This window comes from Homo sapiens, chromosome 16 (genome assembly GCF_000001405.40).
Source record: "Homo sapiens chromosome 16, GRCh38.p14 Primary Assembly".
NCBI classification, from domain to species: Eukaryota; Metazoa; Chordata; class Mammalia; order Primates; family Hominidae; genus Homo; species Homo sapiens.
In genome coordinates, this window is record NC_000016.10 from 28,603,848 (window position 1) to 28,623,402 (window position 19,555).

At 52.4% G+C, this 19,555-nt stretch overlaps 1 protein-coding gene and 2 long non-coding RNA genes across 25 annotated transcripts, besides 5 other annotated features; 1 reads left to right on the forward strand and 2 right to left on the reverse strand.

Moving 5' to 3' along the window:
- Positions 1,411–19,528, reverse strand: SULT1A1 (sulfotransferase family 1A member 1). 21 transcript variants are annotated; one of them, NM_001394423.1, is made up of 12 exons: positions 19,284–19,528; positions 16,216–16,286; positions 6,084–6,344; positions 5,767–5,896; positions 5,516–5,588; positions 4,861–5,012; positions 4,631–4,756; positions 4,444–4,541; positions 3,104–3,230; positions 2,914–3,008; positions 2,209–2,389; positions 1,411–2,086 (listed from the first exon to the last, which is right to left on the reverse strand). In NM_001394423.1, the coding sequence occupies exons 6-12, from the start codon at positions 5,006–5,008 to the stop codon at positions 1,974–1,976; spliced, it is 888 nt and encodes a 295-aa protein (NP_001381352.1). In that variant the 5' UTR covers positions 5,009–5,012; positions 5,516–5,588; positions 5,767–5,896; positions 6,084–6,344; positions 16,216–16,286; positions 19,284–19,528; the 3' UTR covers positions 1,411–1,973. The 21 variants fall into 21 exon arrangements, with proteins under 21 accessions (NP_001381352.1, NP_001381350.1, NP_001381354.1 ...); NM_001394421.1 differs by lacking the exon at positions 5,767–5,896; NM_001394425.1 differs by lacking the exons at positions 5,516–5,588; positions 5,767–5,896.
- LOC107984835 (uncharacterized) lies at positions 6,339–15,139 on the forward strand. Of its 3 annotated transcripts, none has more exons than XR_007065035.1 (2): positions 6,339–8,880; positions 11,491–15,139. It is a non-coding gene; the product is annotated as an uncharacterized LOC107984835 (long non-coding RNA). The 3 variants fall into 3 exon arrangements; XR_007065036.1 differs by having other exon boundaries at positions 6,339–8,786; XR_007065034.1 differs by lacking the exon at positions 6,339–8,880 and adding an exon at positions 10,112–10,297.
- LOC124903674 (uncharacterized) lies at positions 6,853–10,684 on the reverse strand. The gene is made up of 2 exons (XR_007065047.1): positions 10,357–10,684; positions 6,853–10,121 (listed from the first exon to the last, which is right to left on the reverse strand). It is a non-coding gene; the product is annotated as an uncharacterized LOC124903674 (long non-coding RNA).
- Positions 8,582–9,082: an enhancer, noted in NCBI's record as "H3K4me1 hESC enhancer chr16:28623750-28624250 (GRCh37/hg19 assembly coordinates)". NCBI's record gives its function as "activates a minimal SCP1, AML or CMV promoter by ChIP-STARR-seq in naive H9 embryonic stem cells {active_cell/tissue: H9 hESC(naive)}" and the evidence as "EXISTENCE:reporter gene assay evidence [ECO:0000049][PMID:30033119]".
- Positions 9,330–9,880: an enhancer, noted in NCBI's record as "H3K27ac-H3K4me1 hESC enhancer chr16:28624498-28625048 (GRCh37/hg19 assembly coordinates)". NCBI's record gives its function as "activates a minimal SCP1, AML or CMV promoter by ChIP-STARR-seq in naive H9 embryonic stem cells {active_cell/tissue: H9 hESC(naive)}" and the evidence as "EXISTENCE:reporter gene assay evidence [ECO:0000049][PMID:30033119]".
- Positions 9,881–10,430: an enhancer, noted in NCBI's record as "H3K27ac-H3K4me1 hESC enhancer chr16:28625049-28625598 (GRCh37/hg19 assembly coordinates)". NCBI's record gives its function as "activates a minimal SCP1, AML or CMV promoter by ChIP-STARR-seq in naive H9 embryonic stem cells {active_cell/tissue: H9 hESC(naive)}" and the evidence as "EXISTENCE:reporter gene assay evidence [ECO:0000049][PMID:30033119]".
- Positions 11,419–11,993: an enhancer, noted in NCBI's record as "H3K4me1 hESC enhancer chr16:28626587-28627161 (GRCh37/hg19 assembly coordinates)". NCBI's record gives its function as "activates a minimal SCP1, AML or CMV promoter by ChIP-STARR-seq in primed H9 embryonic stem cells {active_cell/tissue: H9 hESC(primed)}" and the evidence as "EXISTENCE:reporter gene assay evidence [ECO:0000049][PMID:30033119]".
- Positions 19,336–19,465: an enhancer, noted in NCBI's record as "active region_10643". NCBI's record gives its function as "activates an Ori minimal core promoter by ATAC-STARR-seq in GM12878 lymphoblastoid cells {active_cell/tissue: GM12878}" and the evidence as "EXISTENCE:reporter gene assay evidence [ECO:0000049][PMID:35858748]".

Below are 19,555 nucleotides of genomic sequence, written 5' to 3' on the forward strand. Positions count from 1 at the left end.
AAGCCCCAAGTCAGCGGCTTCCCTTCTGCAGCCCCAGGAGAACCAGCTCTGAGACAGGAAGCTCCTGCCCTGAACCCACGGCTCCTGCCCCCTCATGCTCCTGGTGACATGGGACACAAGCCACCTGAGGCCAGGATCCCTGCCTGCCACCATCTGGGCTGCCCTCGGTCCTCTGAACACAGAGTCCCTGAAAGGCAGCAGACCCTCTAGCTATGGCCCCACTGGGGAAGGAGTCAGCACCTCTTCCTCTCTCCACCTTTTTCACTGCTCTGGGCCTCCAGCCACTGAGAAAAGAGCTCCATAGCAGCAGGGACTGGGCCAAGACTTCTTGACCCCAGAGTGAACAATGGCAGGAGTGGCTGAAAGTCCACGGCCCAGAGCCTCCTGTGGTCTAGGCTGGGGGAAGGGGGTGCCTGTCATGGCCTGGGGATCTCTGAGCAGCCCCTCCTGTCTGCCTGCCCCACAGCCCCAGGATGACTACTTGGTCCTGTTTGAAGACACTCCTATGCTTGAGTGTCTTCAAGCATTCCCCTCCCCTCGGCGTGGCCCAGAGGTAGGTGGTGGCTTGTAAGGAGCCCAAGAAAAAGTGACGCTGCCTGGCGGACTCGCCATCCACCAACGACACAGGGCAGGACAGCAAAGGATGTGCTGGGATTAAACACATTCCCCCTCCACTCGTCTCCTGGGTTTTACTTCTCCAGACCCTCTCCCCTCTCCAAACAGGTCAAGTTGAGGAGCTGGAGCGGAGAGGTGGCCGTATTTGGCCCCAGTGGGCGATCACTCTTTCAGCTCAGGGTTTCTCTTGGCTTGGAATAGAGACTCTGCATTGAACACAAATCATAGTTGTGTTGTTGTTGTTGTTGTTGTTGTTGTTTTAAGACTGAGTCTTGCTCTGTCGCCCAGACTGGAGTGCAGTGGTGTGATCCCGGTTCAATGAAACCTCCACCTCATGGATTCAATCGATTCTCCCACCTCAGCCTCTGGAGTAGCTGGGATTACAGGCGCCCATCATCATGCCCAGCTAATTTTTGTATTTTTAGTAGAGATGGGGTTTTGCCATGCTGGCCAGGCTGGTCTTGAACTCCTGACCTCAAGTGATCTGCCAGGCTGAAGTGCTGAGATTACAGGCATAAGCCACCGAGCCCAGGTCAAATAATAACTTAATTTAATTTAATTATTTATTTATTTTCAAGACAGAGTTTTGCTCTTATGCCCAGGCTGGAGTGAAGTGGCATGATCTTGGCTCACTGCAACATCCGTCCCTGGGTTCGAGCGATTCTCCTGCCTCAGCCTCCAGAGTAGCTGAGGTTACAGGTGTCTGCCACCATGCCCGGCTAATTTTTGTATCTTTTTTTTTTTTTAGTAGAGACGGGGTTTCACCATGTTGGCCAGACTGGTCCTGAATCATAATTTATGTTAAGTAAATTGTATTTTATTTATTTCTCAAGCAAGATTTGCTCTGTCCCTCAGGCTTGAGTGGATTAGCCCAGTCAGCCCACTGCAGCCATAACCTCCCTGGCTCAGGCGATCCTCCTGCCTTCACTTGTCAAGTAGCTGGGACTACAGGTGCCCACCATCACGTACAGATAATTTTCTCAAATTTTTGTAGGGATGATGTCTTGTAATGTTGAACAGGCTGGTCCCAAACTCCTGTCCTCCAGTGATCCTCTAGCCTCAACTTCTCAAATTGCTGGGATTACAGGCATGAGCCACTCTGCCTGGCCCACAATCATATTTTATTCTCTTTTTAAAAATTGGTTTTATTTTATTTTATTTTTTTAACAGAATCTCACTATGTTGCCCAGGTTGGTCTCGAACTCCTGGGCTCAAATGATCCTCCCACCTCAGCCTCCAAATTGCTGGGATTACAGACATGACCTACCGTCCCGGGCCCTCAATTCATATTTTATTCTTGAGCCGCTTGGTCAGGTTTGATTCGCACACTCCCTCTGCAGTGACTCCAGGAGCCCCTCTCACAGCTCAGAGCGGAAGCTGAGGCTGCAGCCTGCCATCTTCTCCGCATAGTCCGCATCGAAGCGCTCATTCTGCGCCACGGTGAAGGTGGTCTTCCAGTCCCCAGCCATGCCTGGGGGAGGAAGGCAGGGAGCAAAGCTGGAGTCTCATCCCAGGGGAGGCCCCAAGTGCCTATGGGGAGGCTGCAGCTGCTGCTCCCACCCGCCCCAAACCCCCGTGCTGGCCAGCACCCACCTTTCCTCATGAAGGGGGAGATGCTGTGGTCCATGAACTCCTGGGGGACGGTGGTGTAGTTGGTCATAGGGTTCTTCTTCATCTCCTTGAACGACGTGTGCTGAACCACGAAGTCCACGGTCTCCTCTGGCAGGGAGCGCCCCACAAACTCCAGGATCTTTTGAATCTCCCTTTTCGGGTTCTGAGCAGCAGAGGGCCCCTCAGTGGAGGCTCGGATTACTGATTCAGGAAAAGTAAAAGGGGTCCCCTTCTCTAACCTCAGAGGCGATCTGGCCACTTCTCCTAGAAACCCTGCAGAGCCAACTCCTCAACCCCCAGGGCCCCAGTCCCGGGGGTAAAAAGAATTGCTGTCTGCCCTGTGATCCCATCATGAGCTGGGCTTGGCTCCTATGGGTGAGGACCGTGATGGTCTTCTTCTGTGACTGTGGCCCTGGGTAGCACACCCTTTGGCAGGGAGTAGCAATAGGACTAAGTTTCTGATCCGTGGCCCCCCATGCAGCTGACTCAGGTGCGAGAGATGAGAGCTGTGTGGGGCCCGCTGCCAGGTGGGGCCTTAGTGGGGAGGCCTGGGCCAAGAAGGCAGGATGGGGAATCTGGTCCTGCTGTGGGGGCTGCCCAGGGAGGGGGCTGGGTGGCCTTGGCGGGTCCCTGTGAGGTGCCTGCCCCCAGGAGTCACATGGAGGGAAGCATCGCACGTGGTCTCACCTCCTTCATGTCTTCATAGAAGAGGTAGAGAACAGGGTGGGTGCGGCTCAGCTCCCACCACTCCTGCACGTGCTGGTACCAGGATCCGTAGGACACTGGAGAAGCAGGCAAGGGGTGCCAACACAGGGTTGCTGTGCGTTGTAGCCACCACCCCTTAGCTCCACACTTTCCTTCCTCCCATCAAACCCACCTTCTCCGACCATGAACTTCTCCAGGAAGCTGTCCCAGGTCCCAGGCTCAGGGTGCACCTTGGCCATGTGGTAGAAGTGGTAGTAGGAAACTGCCACATCCTTTGCGTTGCGGGCAACATAGACCACCTGCAGGGGCAGAAGACTCAACCCCAGCACCATCACCACACAGCCTGTCCCAGGCCAGCTCATCTCTTGGATTGGCAAAGGAGGAACCTGAGGCTTAGAGGCTGACTTGTTTGAGATCTCACGGCACCGGTAGGGCCAAGTCAGGAGCTGAACCCTGCTCAGAAGCCAAAGTCCTGCCTGGTCCCTGAGACCATCATATTCTATAGTAATATAATCTGCATCAATGCGTCACACCCCAATCTGGAGCAAGGCATGCTCCACCAGCCGTGATCCCACCGCCACCAAATTTTGTGGGCCTGTGAGGACCCACCCTCTAGCTTTCTTAGGTCTACACTGAAGAGTCTTACGTTCTTGGTCATCAGAGCAAGAGGCAGACAGTCCCCGCCGCAGAAGATGAGACAAGGCTGGAGGAAGTGAGGCGACTTTCCCAGAAGAACAGGACCAAAGCTGGGCTGAGCCAGGGCCTCCTTCCCTGGATTCACATGCCCCACACCTGGACCTTTGCTTTTTCTTTTTATTGTGGGATTTATTTTATTTTATTTTATTTTATTTATTTATTTTTGAGACAGAGAGTCTCAAAAAAAAAAAAAAAAAAAAAAGGACCGTGGTCTTTCTTTTTTTCTGTCGCCCAAGTTGGAGTGCACTGGAGTGATAATAACTCACTGCAACCTTGACCTTCCAGGCTCAAGCAATCCTCCAACCTCAGACTTTCCAGTAGCTGGAACTACAGCGCTATGCCACCATGCCCTGCTGATATTTTGCATTTTTATAGAGATGGAGACTCCCCATGTTTCCCGGGCTGGTCTGTAACTCCTGAGCTCAAGTGATCCACCCAATTTGGCCTCCCAAAGTGCTGGCATTACAGCAGTGAGCCACCACAGGTGCCACAGTTTTATTTTTATTTATATATTTATTTATTTATTTATTTTTGTGAGTTTTGCTCTTGTTGCTCAGGCTGGAATGCAATGGTGGGATCTCTGGCTCACCACAACCTCCTTCTCCCGGGTTCAAGTGATTCTCCTGTCTCAGGCTTCGGAGTAGCTGGGATTACAGGCACCCGCCACCACACCCGGCTAATTTTGTATTTTTAGTAGAGACAAGGTTCTTCTATGTTGCTCAGGGTGCTCTCAAACTCCCAACCTCAGGTGATCTGCCTGCCTCAGCCTCCCAAAGTGCTGGGATTATGGATGTGAAACACTGTGCCCTGCCTCACCTTGACCTTCTGATCCAACAGAGTCTGGGGGAGCAGAGCCAGGGGCAGGTGTGTCTTCAGGAGTCGTGGGGCCGGTGTGTCTTTCAGAGTCTCCATCCCTGAGCAGTGGGTCAGGGAAGGTCTGGTGAGCTGAAGCCCCAGCCCTGTCTTCCTCCACTCCCCTTGCACCCAGGACACACTCACACACCTGAGGGAATCCCTGGGGCTTTGAACTCAAGGAAGGGCACCCGCATGAAGATGGGAGCTCGGTGACACTTCTCCAGGTCACCACCCTGGTAGATCATGTCCAGAATCTGGCTTACCCAGGTAGTGCCTGGAGAGGGAGGGAGATGGGAGGTGAGCAGGCTGAGGGCACGACCTCGCTGGCCAAGGTGGGGACTGCCACCTGGGAGAGGGTGGGTGGCCCTCCTCACTTACCGGACTTGGGGTAGGTGCTGATGAGCAGGTCATCAGGCCGGGCCTGGAAGCTCTGCAGGGGCCCCAGTGCCTCTGCAAAGTACTTGATGAGCGGGACCCCCTTCACGTACTCCAGTGGCGGGCGGGAGGTGTCCTGGATCAGCTCCATGTTCCTGCGTCAGGGGCCAGAGCCAGGCCCGTTCCCTTACCACCATCACAACAGCAAGAAAGTGGAATTCTTGCTTTCAGGGAAGTCACTGAGGCCTAGGGAGGCTGAGTGACTTGCCCGCACTCACAAAGCCACTCAGTGGCGGGGCTGGGGCTGAAAACCAGGTCGGGCTCTAATGCGGTGGTTCCCCAGCCTGGCCTCACCTTTCATTCACCTGCGGAGCTGTTCAAAATCCCAGGGCCTGGGCCATGGTGCAGACCAGTGAAAGCACCCTCGTCGGGCAAGGCCCAGATGTCAGGGTGTGTGAAGGTCTCCAGGAGAGTCCAGCTGCACTGAGGAAGCTCTAGGACCTTCCTGTGCTGTCTCCCTGCCAGCCAGCGCCCTTTGTCTCACCACTTCCTGCTGGGACCCCCAGCCTCCACCCAGTGGAGATGCTCCCCTCCTTGAGCCCCTCAGCCCCTCACATGTGGAAACCGCCCAGGCCAGCCAGGCCTGTGATCCACTTGCCTGGCCACAGTCCATCTGGGCTCCAGGACAAACACGGCCCATTGAGGAACTGAGCTGCTACTAGGGGCCAGAGCTGCTGTGGGAATGAACAAAACTCTGATGACTCAGCAAAAGCACAGGCCTAGGCAGGGTGGCTCCCACCTATAATCCCAGACCCTAGGGAGGCTGAGGCCAGGAGTTGGAGACCAACCTGGTGCAGCATTGCAAGACCCCATCTCTAAAAATCTTTAAAAAAATTCTTAAACATTAACCAGGCAGGATGATGAGGGCCTGTAGTCCTAGCTACTCCAGAGGCTGAGGCAAGAGAATCACTTGAGCCCAGGAATTCAAGGCTGCAGTGGCCAGGATCCCACAGCACTCCAGCCTGGGTGACAGCAAGACCTGGCCTCCCCGGGGAAAAAAACAAACAAACAAGGGAAGGGAGGGGGATTCACGCAGGCCAGGGTTGTCTGAAATGGGATATCCATGGGGAAAGGGCAGGGATGCCAGAGGCCTCAGCTTCTGGAATGTTAGAGCCACAAGCTGAGCAGGGTGAGGGCGCCCTGGGCCGTTCCACTGTGTCACTCACCTGAGCTCTTGGGAACCTGGCCTCGTGCCCTCCTCGCCCGCAGTGGCTGATTGTGGGTGTTGTGTGGGGAATGCAGGGTTGTTCTCTGAGCTGAGGGTTTCCTAGGTCCACTGTGGGAGGGATCTGGAGCCGGGGCTGGACTTAGATTTGCTTCCGGAAGGAAGGGGTGGGGTTGGGGGTGGGGGAGCTTCTCCATTACCCTCCTTAGTGTGCCAGCTGGAGACAAGCTTAAAGTGATCTCCAAAGCCACGACTGAGTTTGCTGTGTAGAAAACAGAAGAATGAAAGGGGAAAGGCCCAATGGTGGGTTTGTTTTTGTAGGTTTTTTTTTTCTGTTTTTTTTTTTTTTTTTTTTTTTTTTCCGAGCTGTCACTGGGCTCCTGACCTGCCCCTGAACTCCACCCTGCCAGGCAGCCAACAGACAAGCTCTCTCTAATTGACCCAGGCAAGAGAGGGGAGGGATTGGAGGAGAAAGCTGGGATAGGCAGGCCCTGGAAAGGTCACCTACCTGCTGGCTCCAGGCCAGTCTTGAAGGTGCCAGGGGTTCTGGCCCAGTGCAGCCCACAGGCCCCCAGCAGCCCATGCACTCCAGGCTCTGACCACAAGGCCAGTCTAGAGGGATGTGTGTGGGCAGAGTGAAGGGGCAGGGGTGGAGCAGAGCATGGATGCATAGAACAAGAAAGAACAAGGACACTGCAGTCCCATTGCCCTGGGAGTCAGCCCCAGCTTCATGGCTCCTGGGGACCTCAGAGAACATTGATAGAAGATCCTAGAAGAACCACAACCCGTGGCAGGTGGTTTTATTTCCCTGGGTTTGAAGGAGGCTCCACAGACAAGAGACCAGAGGAGGCCGAGGTTTGGAAGCCACAGGGCCCCGTGGAAGGGGGGCATCCCCCCATCCTCCTCGTTCTTTATCCTCACTTTAAAGTCCAAGGTCAAGCTGTGCACGAGACAGGTAAACAACCATCTGAGTAAAGGTGAATCTCCCAAGACTTCCAAGAAATGCGTGAGTTCAGAGGCAAGCGGACAGGTGGGAGTGTGGGGGAAGCTGAGGCATGGGAATTCCAGGCAGAGGAGAGGCTTCTCATATGCTAGGGCCATGGACCCCTCCTCCCTCCTCTGTGCCCATGAGGAATCCCCGTGACTGGCAGGTCCTCAGGCTACTAGCTCCACCCCTGCCCTCAGCAACCCTCAGGAGGTTCCCTTGACTAAGACTTTGTATTGCACTCTAGTAACAACCTGTCGGACCCACACGGGGTGACACAGAAAAGAGGCGAGAATGTGAGATTAATAGAGTGGTAGCAAGTGAATACAAAATCCCAGGCAGCAGTTTCACATGAGGAGAAGAAGGAAACTTGAAATAGCTGCATGCGCTAAGGGCCAATAAGTCCCTGAAAAATAGGATGAGGACCAAGCTGGCTACGACCAACCAGACACAACATGGCGCTGTATTTGATGTAGGTTTCACCTAGGATCTCATTGTATGATCAGTAACATATGAAACCGTACACCCACCAGTGCCAAGACGGCTCCAGGAACACCTGTATTTGGGTGTAAATTGTGGCACCACGGTCTTGAGAAATCTTTACCTTTTCCTGGACTCTTCATGAATATACCCCTCTTTAGTTGAAGAAGCCCATAAAGGTCAGCCCCACACCTTGTAGGGCATGAGACACTCTCTTGAGGACCCCCACGTTCCTCTTCTTCAGTGAGTCCCTTTACTCTGCAGGAAATCTGCCTACATTCATGACTTTTGCACTTGTCCTTAAATTGTTTCTGGCTAAGGTGCCAAGAGCCTGGAGAAGGCCTGGCACGGTGGCTCACTCCTGTAATCCCAGCACTTTGGGAGGCCGAGGCAGGCAGACCACCTGAAGTCGGGAGTTTGAGACCAGCCTGACCAACATGGAGAAACCTTGTCTCTACTAAAAATAGAAAATTAGTCAAGCCTGGTGGCACACGCCTGTAATCCCAGCTACTTGGGAGGCTGAGGCAGGAGAATCGCTTGAACCCGGGAGGCGGAGGTTGCGGTGAGCCAAGATCACGCCATTGCACTCCAGCCTGGGCAACAAGAGTGAAACTCGGTCTCAAAAAAACAAAACAAAACAAAAAAAAGCGTGGAAACGGGCTGAGGTCGATGTCCCACCGGTCTTTGATGACCTCCCCTAGGCCACCAGTATCTGGAGGGGATTAGGGACACTGAGCTCCAGCAGGGCTATCCAGTGTGCCTGCAGAAACAAGGTTGGTCACAGGCAGCCCAGGACAGGGAGTGGGGTAGGGAGGCTGGGGCCAAAGCCCACTCACGTCTTCTAATTCCGAGTCTTCCACTATTTCCCCCGTGCTCATCCATCACAGCCAGATCAGGTCACCCAAAGCAGTGACGCCTCACAGCTACCAAGGCATGGGGCCAGAGAGAGAGACAGAGTCAGGCATCACAAGCCCCCTCCAGGCTCAGCCCTGAATACCAAGATCAGGACACGGCTGCCCCGGCCTGGATTGCACAACTGGGCACCCTCTTCCCAAAGCTGGACCAGGCTGGGGCCGGGGGACTGCACTCAGCTAGGGCATTGGCCCTCTAGGGGCAGAAGCTGCCCTGGTTCTTCCGGAAGGAACTCCTCTCACAGGCAGATCACGTGGGCTCTTAGCCAACAGCCAGGGTTGGGGCAACACAAGGGCCCCGCTTCATCCTGTCCCAGGCAGCAGGCAGGTAAGAGACAAGGAGGGAGAGGCAGCTGGCAGCAACCCCTCTATGCAGCAGGCACTGTTCCGGGCATTACACAGCTCCATCCCGTGAGGCAGAGGTGACTGTTATTTGCATCTTACAGATGAGGAAATGGAGGTGGGGGTTTAAAATCCTTGCCCCTGGGACTAAGCTGGTGCAGGTCCTGGGAGCATCAGCAGTGATTGATTGAGTCACAGCCTCACCACTGCAGCCAGACCTGAACTTCCTCACAGCTCAGCAACACCCAGCAGGTCACTGAATGTCCCCAGGGCAAGTCCTCTACTCACTCACTATTAGCGGGTGCTCAGTAGAAGGCACCCGTTTTCCATTATTTTATTAACTATTTCTTGGCTATCGTCTCTGTGCAGGACTTTGTTCTACAGCAGTGACAAGAGCTGCCCTCGGGCAATGTAGTGCAAAGGTTGGGGTGGGAGAGACTAACGAGAGTCATAAAGCACCTAGCCGGTGAGATAGTAAGTATTCAGGTAAAGAAGCAGACGGGGAAGTACACAAGAGGTGCAATTTTATTTTATATTTTTAGAGACAGTTTCTTGCTCTTTTGCCCAGGCTATAGTGCAGTGGAGCGATCAGAGCTCACTGCAGCCTCCAACTCCTGGGACCAAGCGATCCTCCCACCTCAGCCTCCCCCCGTAGCTGGGACTACAGGCATATGCCACCATGCCCGGCTTCTCAGAGCTGCAATTTTAAATCGGGAGATAGAGAAGACCTCCCTGTGGAGGTGGCAGGTTATCAAGATAGGTGTAGAGAAGAACCTTCCAGTCAAAGGGAAAAGGCAGGTCCTGCTGTGCTCAGGAATGGCCAGAAATACTATCATCCCCATCTTAGAGACGGGGACAGGGCCGCAAAAGTGTCAGGGCGTTTCCTGGCTCCTCAACAAACAGCTGGATCCGAAGTGGTCTGGGGGATGAGCCGCCCTGCCTGGGGCGGACCTCCCCTGGAGCTCAAGGGCTCGCAGGGCGCACAGGCCTCTTGGGCCCCGGGTCCGGCTCAGGCTCGGGCTTGGTGCCAGCAAAGGGACCTGCGCGGTGCCCTGGGGCCGGGGAGGCCCGAAGGCCATCGCCCGTGCGGCGCGGCGCATAGAGGTCCCGGCGGAGGTCGGGGTGCAGCGGGAGTAGGAGGCGCGCCTATGGAGGGGGTTCCAGGCCCACTCCAACAGCGGCAGGATACGGAGGAGTTAGGGCGGCTCCAGGCAGGGGGGCGGACCCCAAGCCCTTGCCCGCCTGCCGCCGCCTGGTCTCCTTCCTTACCCGAAGGGTTGCCACGGCGGGCGGGAAGCCGTGCACGACGAGCACTTTCTCCCTGGGGAGGAGAACGGGGGTGTCCCTGTGAGCCCTGCCGCGCCCAACCGCGGGTCCCCTCCAATTCCACCCGAGAGCGGGGTCCTCACTGCCGGCTTCAGCCTAGCCCCAGGCCCTGCCCCTAAATGAAGTCACGCCCCCTGCACCTGCCCACCTCAGGCCGCGCCTCCAGCCCAGGTACCCACCTGTCCCCCCTCTTCTCTCTCCTGCGCTCCATCCGACCCCAGCATGCCCACCAAGACCCCTACGCTGGCCCGCATCCTGGATCATCACCTCCGCCCCAGCCAGCTCCTCCCCGGAGTTCCACCGCCAAGATTCCCAGGGCACTGTCTCCCCGTCATGCTCCTCCTCTGTGACAGTCCCGTCCCCACCCTGGACTCCCCACCCATGTCACAGGCATGCCCTTCCCTCTCATCAGGCTTGTGCCCAGCGGGGTCCGCCTCCTCCAGGAAGCCTTCCTCCTGGCACAGAGACCCTTCCGGTCTCACCAGGAGTGCAATGGCCCGATTTGGCTCACTGCAACCTCTGCCGCTGCCCCCTGCCCCATCTTTCAAGCAATTCTCCCGCCTCAGCCTTTTGAGTAGCTGTAATTACAGGCACGTGCCACCATGCCCGACTAATTTTTGTATTTCTATTACAGACGGGGTTTCACCATGTTGGTCAGGCTGGTCTCGAACTCCTGACCTCAAGTGATCCAACCGCTTTGGCCTCCCAATGTGTTGGGTTTACAGGCTTGAGCCACCGCGCCAGGCCTGGGCCCTGCCTTTTGTGTGGCCCCCATTGTGCTGCTGGACCTGACAAGCAGGGCTGACAGTGAACCCCATATAAACGTGGCCCTGATGACGGGGGTTCAGGCCGTAGAGCAGGTAGATGCTGAAGAAGCGCCCCGGCCTAGCCGCGACTCCCGTGGAACTCTTTGAATTTTAGGAAATTCTCCTTAAACACACTTCTGGTTCAGCACCGACATCAAGAAGAGAGCCTCTCCACCACCTGCAAACTCACTTTGTCCCTCCCTGGTTCTTCCCGCTGGGCGCCCACTATGCTGCGGTCTCGCCCATCTGTAGCTGAGCCCAGCAGCCCCTGTAGGACACCTGGCCGAACGGGTCACAGTCCTGCTGGGCTCACTCGGGAGATGGAGGCTCCCAGGGGCTCCTCCAACAGCCCCAGGGCTGCTCTCTGGTCACTGCACCTGCCTGGGCTGCCACTCTGCTTCTCATCTGCACAGCAGGAGAAAAACTCCACAGAGCGTGCTGTGGGCGGGGCCGGCTGTGCAGGGAGCACCGGGTCCTTGCCCTGCCCCTGTCCTCCACACTCCCCTACAGGGACTGTGCCCCTGGCTGCATCCTGCATTTTCCTCCTTTTGTCCACAGGTATGAGGTAGATGACATTGATGAAGAAGGCAAAGCGTGAGTGTCCAGGCCAGGGCAGGGCATGGAGCCTGGGGGCAGCCTACCAGCTGGGAAGGAGCATCCCCACCCGGCCACAGGTTGACACAAGCCCCTCTACCACCAGGAGACACACCGTGAGCTTGCGCCGGATCATCCCGCTGACCCGGTGGAAGGCCAACCCCGAGACAGACCCCGAGGCCTTGTTAGTCAAGGAGAAAACCATGTTCTCAGGATGCTGTGACCTTGGTGACAGCACGGCCAACACAGGAAGCCTGGGCAACACAGGCAGTTGGGCCCGGGTGACCACTACCACCAATATGCAGAGACTGGTAGTGGCCCCGAACGTCGGGCTGCGCTGTTATTTATTGGATACAAGGCTGAAGGGTCAGGGTAAAGAATGTGAGTCACCTCCAATGATAGGTAAGGTCACGTGGGTCACGTGTCCACTGGACAGGGGGCCCTTCCCTGCCTGGCAGCCGAGGCAGAGAGGGAGAGGAGACAAAGAGAAAGACAGCTTATGCCATTATTTCTGCATATCAGGGACTATTAGTATTTTCACTAATTTACCACTGCTATCTAGAAGGCAGAGTCAGGTGTACAGGATGAAACATGAAGGTGGACTAGGAGTGTGACCACTGAAGCACAGCATCACAGGGAGACGCTGGACCACGATCCGCCTGGTAACGGGCATCTTCCCAGATGCTGGTGTCACCGCTAGACCAAGGAGCCCTCTGGTGGCCCTGTCCAGGCATAACAGAAGGCTCGCACTCCTGTCTTCCGGTCACACCTCACTATGTCCCTTCAGCTCCTATCTGTGTATGGCCTGGTTTTTCCTAGGCTATGATTATTGAGCGAGGGTTATTATAATATTGGAAGAAAAAGTAATTGCTACAAACTAATGATTAATGATATTCATATATAATCATATCTAAGATCTATATCTGGTATAACTATTCTTGTTTTATATTTTATTATACTGGAACAGATCGTGTCCTCTGTCTCTTGCCTCGGTGCCTGGGTGGCTTGCCGCCCACAATTCTCCTGACTCAGCCTCTTGAGTAGCTGGGATTACAGGCGTGCGCCACCATGCCTGGCTAATTTTTTGTATTTTTAGTAGAGACTGGGTTTCACCATTTTGGTCTGGCTGGTCTCGAACTCCTGACCTCAAGTGATCTGCTCACCTCGGCCTCTCAAAGTGGTGAGATTACAGGTGTGAGCCACCATGCCAGGCCAGTTTTATTTTTTTAAATACAGACAGGGTCTTGCTATGTTGCCCAAGCTGGTCTCGAACTCCTAACCTCAAGGGATCCTCTCGCCTCACCCTCCCAAAGTGTTAGGATTACAGGCATGAGCCACCACACCCGACGTACTTCATTATTTCTTATGTGAACTTGGCTACAATAACCCCCCACTCTGGTTTCCTCTGCTGCAATTACCTAACCGTGAAGTGCAAGATCCTCAGCTCCGGGTGTTCAACAGTCTCCAGGATCCAAACTCATTCCAAGTTGCTCAACAAATACTCTGTGAACACCAAACTGCCTGTGGTTTCTCCCCTCTGGGCATACCGTGGTGCTTTACACATTGTCAACTCTACTCAGCTCTTCTGCCCCTGGAATGACCTGTCCCCCAGTATGTGCCTAACTCCAGATCTTTTTTTTTATTTTTTATTTTTTATTTTGAGACAGGGTCTCGCTGTGTTACCCAGGCTGGAGTGCAGTGGTACAATCATAGCTTACTGCAGTCTTGACCTCCTGGGCTCAGGAGATCCTCCCACCTCAGCCTCCTGAGTAGCTGGGACTACAGGTGTGAGCCACCATGACCAGCTCATTTTTGTATTTGTGGAGATGAGGTTTCATCGTCATATTGCCCAGGCTGGTCTCAAATTCCTGAGCTCAAGCAATCTACCCACCTTGGCCTCCCAAAGTGCTAGCATTACAGGCATGAGCCACTGGTGCCTGGCCCCAGCAAGACTTCCTTGATCCCCACTCCCACACCTCCTCGCTGTGCTGAGTACCCATGGGCTCTGAGAGCATTTCTCATCGAACTCTAGTTAATGACTTGTCTATTTATCTATCTATCCCACTAGACTCTAAGTCCCTTTAGGACAGAATCTCTGTTTTATATGGTTTTTTGGGTATCTTCCACTAACACCTAGGACAGCACCTGGAAGACAGTTTCTTTTCTTTTCTTTTTTTTTTTCTTTTTGTGACGGAGTCTCCCTCTGTTGCCAGGCTGGAGTGCAGTGGCACGATCTCAGCTCACTGCAACCTCCGCCTCCCGGGTTCCAGCAATTGTCCTGCCTCAGTCTCCTGAGTAGCTGGGATTACAGGCACCCGCCACCATGCCTGGCTAATTTTTGTATTTTTAGTAGTGACGGGGTTTCACCAAGTTGGCCAGGATGGTCTCAATCTCTTGACCTAGTGATCCGCCTGCCAAAGTGCTGGGATTACAGGTGTGAGTTGTCGTGCCCGGCCGACAATTTCTTATCACAAGAAATCTTCCCAAAAAATCTCCAAATGGGCTGGGCTTTAGACTGCTGGTATACCCTCTTTCTTTTCCTGAGGGTAGATGAGACTCACTCATTGTAACCACTGTTTTTTAAAACAGTATGCAAATATTCCTGCGGTTTTGTTCATTTACAAATCCCTGCCTGAAGCTTCTTTCTTTCCCAATTCTACTTCCTGCTCTTTTTTTTTTTTTTTGAACCAGGGCCTCACTCTGTCACTCAGGCTGGTGTGCAGCGGTGCAATCACAGCTTATTGCAGCCTTGACCTCCCAGGCTTGCAATCCTCCCATCTCAGCTTCCTGAGCAGCTGGGACAACAGACGCTTGCCACTATGCCCAGCTAATTTATTTTATTTTTGTAGAGATGGGGTCTCACTGTGTTGCGCAGGCTGGTCTGAAACTGCTGAGCTCTACCGATCCTCTTGCCTCAGCCTCCCAAAATGCTGGGATTACAAGTGTGAGCCGGCTACTTCCCGCTCTTTTTTTTTTTTTTTTTTTTTTTTGAGACAGAGTCTCGCTCTGTCGCCCAGGCTGGAGTGCAGTGGCGTGATATCGGCTTAGTGCAACCTCCGCCTTCCGGGTTCAAGTGATTCTCCTGCCTCAGCCTCCCAAGTAGCTGGAACTACAGGCTCGTACCACCATGCCCTGCTAATTTTTTTATTTTTAGTGGAGACAGGGTTTCACCATGTTAGCCAGGATGGTCTCGATCTCCCGACCTTGTGATCCACCCGCCTCCACCTCCCAAAGTGTTGGGATTACAGGCGTGAGCCACCGTGCCCGGCCTAAATTTTGCACTGGACTGGACTATATATATTTGTGCCGAGCAAACAGTAAAACCGCTGATTTGTTTTGAACCTTGGAGTAACCCTTGGAAACCTTCTCCTTCACTATCAATACCTTTGTGATGTTAAAGTTCTTTTCACCAGGACTCCGCAGAATGCTCACCTGAAAACATTGGCTCTGAATGTGGGAATGATTCCATTAAGCCACTCACAGTCTACCATCCTTATTTTGCAAATAGAATCCCAAATTTACAAAATAAATTGTCCCTTTGGCTGCAAAATTTACAAAATAAATTCTGATCATTAATAAGAGTTAATATAATAAAGTCAGAAATCATTGAGAACATGGACTAAAATTCAGAGATATTATTTCATTTCTTTTTTTCTTTTTGAGATGGAGTCTTGCTCTGTTGCCCAGGCTGGAGTGCAGTGGTGAGATCTTGGCTCACTGCAACCTGTCTTCAGATTCAAGTGATTCTCCTGCCTCAGCCTACTGAGTAGCTGGGATTACAGACATACACCACCGTGCCCAGCTAATTTTTGTATTTTTAGTAGAGACAGGGTTTCACCATATTGGCCAGGCTGGTTTCAAACTCCTGACATCAAGTGATCTGCCTGCCTCAGCCTCCCAGGTGTTGGGATTAGAGGCGTGAGCCACCGTGCCCGGCCCAGAGAAAGTATTTCTTTCCAATTCATGAGAAGTATAGACACTCTTAAAGCCTCTCCTCATACATCTATCAAAATAACTTTAAGATTTCTCTGTCAAAATATTGGACCCTTCTGCCAACCAAACTGGAGCTCTAATTTAGGAATAGTTTAATAAAAATGTACTTAATGTTGAGGTGGGAGAATAACTGGAGCACAGGAGTTTGAGGCCAGCCTGTGCTACATAGTGAGACTCTGTCTCTATCAAAAAATTTAAAAATAATTAGCTGGGTGTGGTGGCACATGCCTGTAGTCTCAGCTACTCAGAAGGATGAGGTGGGAGGATCGCTTGAGCTCAGGAGGTCCAGGCTGCAGTGAGCCATGACCATGCCACTGCATTCCAGCCTGGGTGACAGAATGAGACCCTGTCTCAAAAAAAATTTTATTAAAAAATATATATATACATATATATATATAGACACACACACACACACAAAGAATCCTGATATGATTATACAAATGTATCAAATCATCACATGTATTCTGAAAATACATACATATATGTGTCAATTAAAACATTTTAAATCTTTATAAATATGTACACAGAAAGTATATATTTTTGTGGATCTATGTACATATATATACATATACACATATATACACAAAAAGTTACTGATTGTATATGTATATATATTGTATTGTATATTGTGTGTGTGTGTGTGTGTATATACACACACAAAAAGATACTGATAACATTTTCAAACGCCTGTCTTACCATATAGGTGTTCCAGAATTTCTGTTTCAGGTCCAAAAATATGTCATCCTTTCCCTGGAGAATGCTCATACCTATTTGCAAAAACACCAAAAGAATTTTAAAAGATTCAGTAGAGTACTGTATAACAGTTCATGTTTAAGTTTACCATTCCAAAATGCAAAGTAACCATCACTATCATCCATCAATATGACCCTCTGATCCTACAGTGAAAAGAGAACATAGACAGGTGCCGTGGCTCAAGCCTGTAATCCCAGCACTTTGGGAGGCCGAGGCAGGCAGATTGCTTGAGTCCAGGAGTTAAGAGACCAGCCTGGGCAACAGGGCAAAACCTCATCTCTATAAAAAATACAAAAATTAGCCAGGTGTGGTGGTGTGTCTGTAGTCATAGTTACTCAGGAGGCTGAGGTGGGAGGATTGCTTGAGCCTGGGAGGTGGAGGCTACAGTGAGCTGTGATCATGCCACTGCACTCCAGTCTGGACAACATAGCAAGACCCTGTCTCAAAAAAAAAAAAAAAAAAAAGAACATAGTCTCCACTCTAAAACTAGAAAATTTTAAAGGAATGATAAATATGATGTGAGAATAGCAGAATATAAAAGTTATAGCAGAACAATTATTTTTTCAAAAACTATAACAATTCACAAAAACAATCCAGTTACAATAGTGGGTCTATTGGTTACTTTTCTCTACCTTCCAAACATTTTGTGAAAAGTTGAACATTTGGACATTTTGAAATTTTAATTTCTATCTTTTAAAAAAAGCTAGTGGGCTGGGCACGGTGGCTCATGCCTGTAATCCCAGCACTTTGGGAAGTTGAGGCGAGCGGATCACCTGAGGTCAGGAGTTCGAGACCAGCCTGACCAACACGGAGAAACCCCGTCTCTACTAAAAATACAAAATTAGCTGGGTGTGGTGGCGCATGCCTGTAATCCCAGCTTCTCGAGAAGCTGAGGCAGAAGGATCACTTGAACCCAGAAAGTGGAGGTTGCAGTGAGCTGAGATCGGGCCAATGCACATTCCAGCCAGGATGATAAAGCGAGACTCTGTCTCCCAAAAAAAAAAAGAAAAGAAAAAGAGAACAATTTCACTAATTTCACTAGTTGTTTCCTCATTTGTAACATGAGAGTAATAAGAACAATCTCAGGTGCGAGGGCTCACGTCTGTGATCCCAGCACTTTGGGAGGCCATGATGGGCAGATTACTTGAGTTCAGGAGTTCGAGACGACCCTGGCAAACATGGTGAAACTTTGTCTCCATTAAAAATGCAAAAATTAGCCGGGCATGGTGGTGTGCATCTGTAATGCCAGCTACTTGGTAGGCTGAGGCAGGAGGATCGCTTGAACCTGAAGATGGAGGTTTCAATGAGCTGAGATCAGGCCACTGCACACTCCAGGCTGGGCAATAAAACAAGACTCTGTCTCAAAAAAAAAAAAAAAAAAAAAAAAAAGAAGAAGAAGAAGAAGAAGAAAAGAAAAAGAGAACAATCTCACTAGTTTTTTGAGGATTAAATAGCATTCTGGTCCCCTACCCCTTCACCGCTGTACAAGACTTCTTTAACAGTTGCTAGGAAGCTGTTTGCAAATCTAGTCTGCAAATCACACGCCGGGACCAGGCACAGACCTTCTGATAAAACAGGAGGCCCTAGCTCCCCGGCTGTCTGTTCTCCTGACCCACTGACCCCGTCAGGCTTAAGACCCATAGAGATTTTCTCCCCAGTTACCCACCCCATCCCCTTCAAGGCTATAGAAATTGCAATGATGATAGAGGCCACAGGGACCCTCCTGTGAGCAGATGGAGGATCTCCAAAGATTACAAGAATTTAACCAACTTGAGTGATCAGCCTGTTTTACAGCCTCCTGACCTCAACCTGTTCTTCCCCAGCCCTGGGTGGAATGAGGTCACCCTGTTTGTTTAAATCAGCTCCTAAATGACCCCAGGTTACTTACAGATGAACCCAAGTTAACTCTCCTCATTACCATGCTAAAGTCTTCACCCCGGGAGAAGCTATAGCTTCATGACTATAACCTATGCAACCTATGCGCTAGCATCATGACTCACTGGGACCCCTACTCTACATGCAATCATGCACCCTCTCCTTTCTCCATCACCCCATAAAACCCTCCTGTCTCTTTCTCTGGGGGACACACTACTTGGGAGAATATGCCCAGTGTCTTCCTTTCTTGTGCCAAGTAAAACTCCCATTGATCAAAACCCGCCTCTTGGTGGAGTCATTTGTGACTCGTTAAGGGAATGAACCCCGGTATTTTTCAGGTAACATTTCCATTGTTCTTATTGTACGCAGTAGAGAAGGTTTCCACAGTCAAGCCCCTGTCCCCCACACCCCAGGCCCGGGTCGGATTTTCTAAGGAGAGGGTTCCCTGAACCCTCACAGGTATATAGTCCTCTATGGCAAGGATCCAAGGTCCCTTGATGTTTTCCGTGAGACCCCAGGGGAAAATCTTGTTACCAAAGCAGGACTAGGCCCCTGGGCATGAATTTGCTGAAGATCCAGGCCCAACCTCAGATTCCACCTGCTCTGCCCCCCAGGGTCACGGGTCCCCTTGCATTTTGTTCCTGTGTTGGCCCCGGGGCCCCAGGCGTGGATTTTCTGAACAGCAGGTCGGTTCCTTCCCTGTCCCACGATTGGTTCACGGTCATTGCAGCTGCTATGGCCTTGAACTGGGATCTCCTTTATTTTCCCGTGGGCCTTTTTCAGGGGGCAAAGACCTCCGCAGCCCTGCCTACCTCCAGCCTTGGCCTACACCCAACCCCAGAGTCTGAGCCCCGACCCTAGTCCTCTAAATTCCTGACCTGCTGTACCTCTGGCTCCCCAATTTCTCGGCTCCCCAGCCAGTGCCTCCTGCAACTTCTCGCAATCAAACACCCCAGCCTCCAGCCTTTGCCCTGGCCCTTCAGGCCTCTGAAGCAGCTCCGGTCTCAGAGCCCCGGCTCCTGCCCGGGTCCCCAGGCTCCTGCAGCGCCCTCCCTCCAGCCGCTTGATCCCCAAGTCCCTGCCTCCAGTCCCCCAATACTGGTCCCACCCCCCAGGTTCCCCCCCCGGCCCCTCACCGGCGTAGAAGGCCGAGACCGCGATGGGCGCACCGACCACCTGGTCGCACAGCAACTTGGCCAGCATGGCGCGCGGCGCTCGGCCCGGGAGCGCGCGCTCCAGCAGGCCCAGCCACACGTAGTTGAAGTTGGCGTGGAAGGTCACCACCAACGTGGCCACGCGCCGCGTCTGGCGCCAGTCGGCCTAGCGGCCCTGCAGCCGTTGCTGCAGCACGTCCCCGGCGGAGACGAGCGAGCTACGGCACGCTCGTAGAGCGTAGAGCTACGTTGCT

Bases quoted from the DNA above. Each gene is read 5' to 3' on its own strand.
- SULT1A1 (XM_047434547.1), bottom strand. From the start codon at position 5,008: ATGGAGCTGATCCAGGACACCTCCCGCCCGCCACTGGAGTACGTGAAG. The intron at 4,542-4,630 runs GTGTGTGAGTGT...CCCACTGCTCAG, and splicing joins AGCCCCAGGGATTCCCTCAG to GGATGGAGACTCTGAAAGAC. The intron at 3,009-3,103 runs GTGGGTTTGATG...CTGCTTCTCCAG, and splicing joins GAAGTTCATGGTCGGAGAAG to TGTCCTACGGATCCTGGTAC.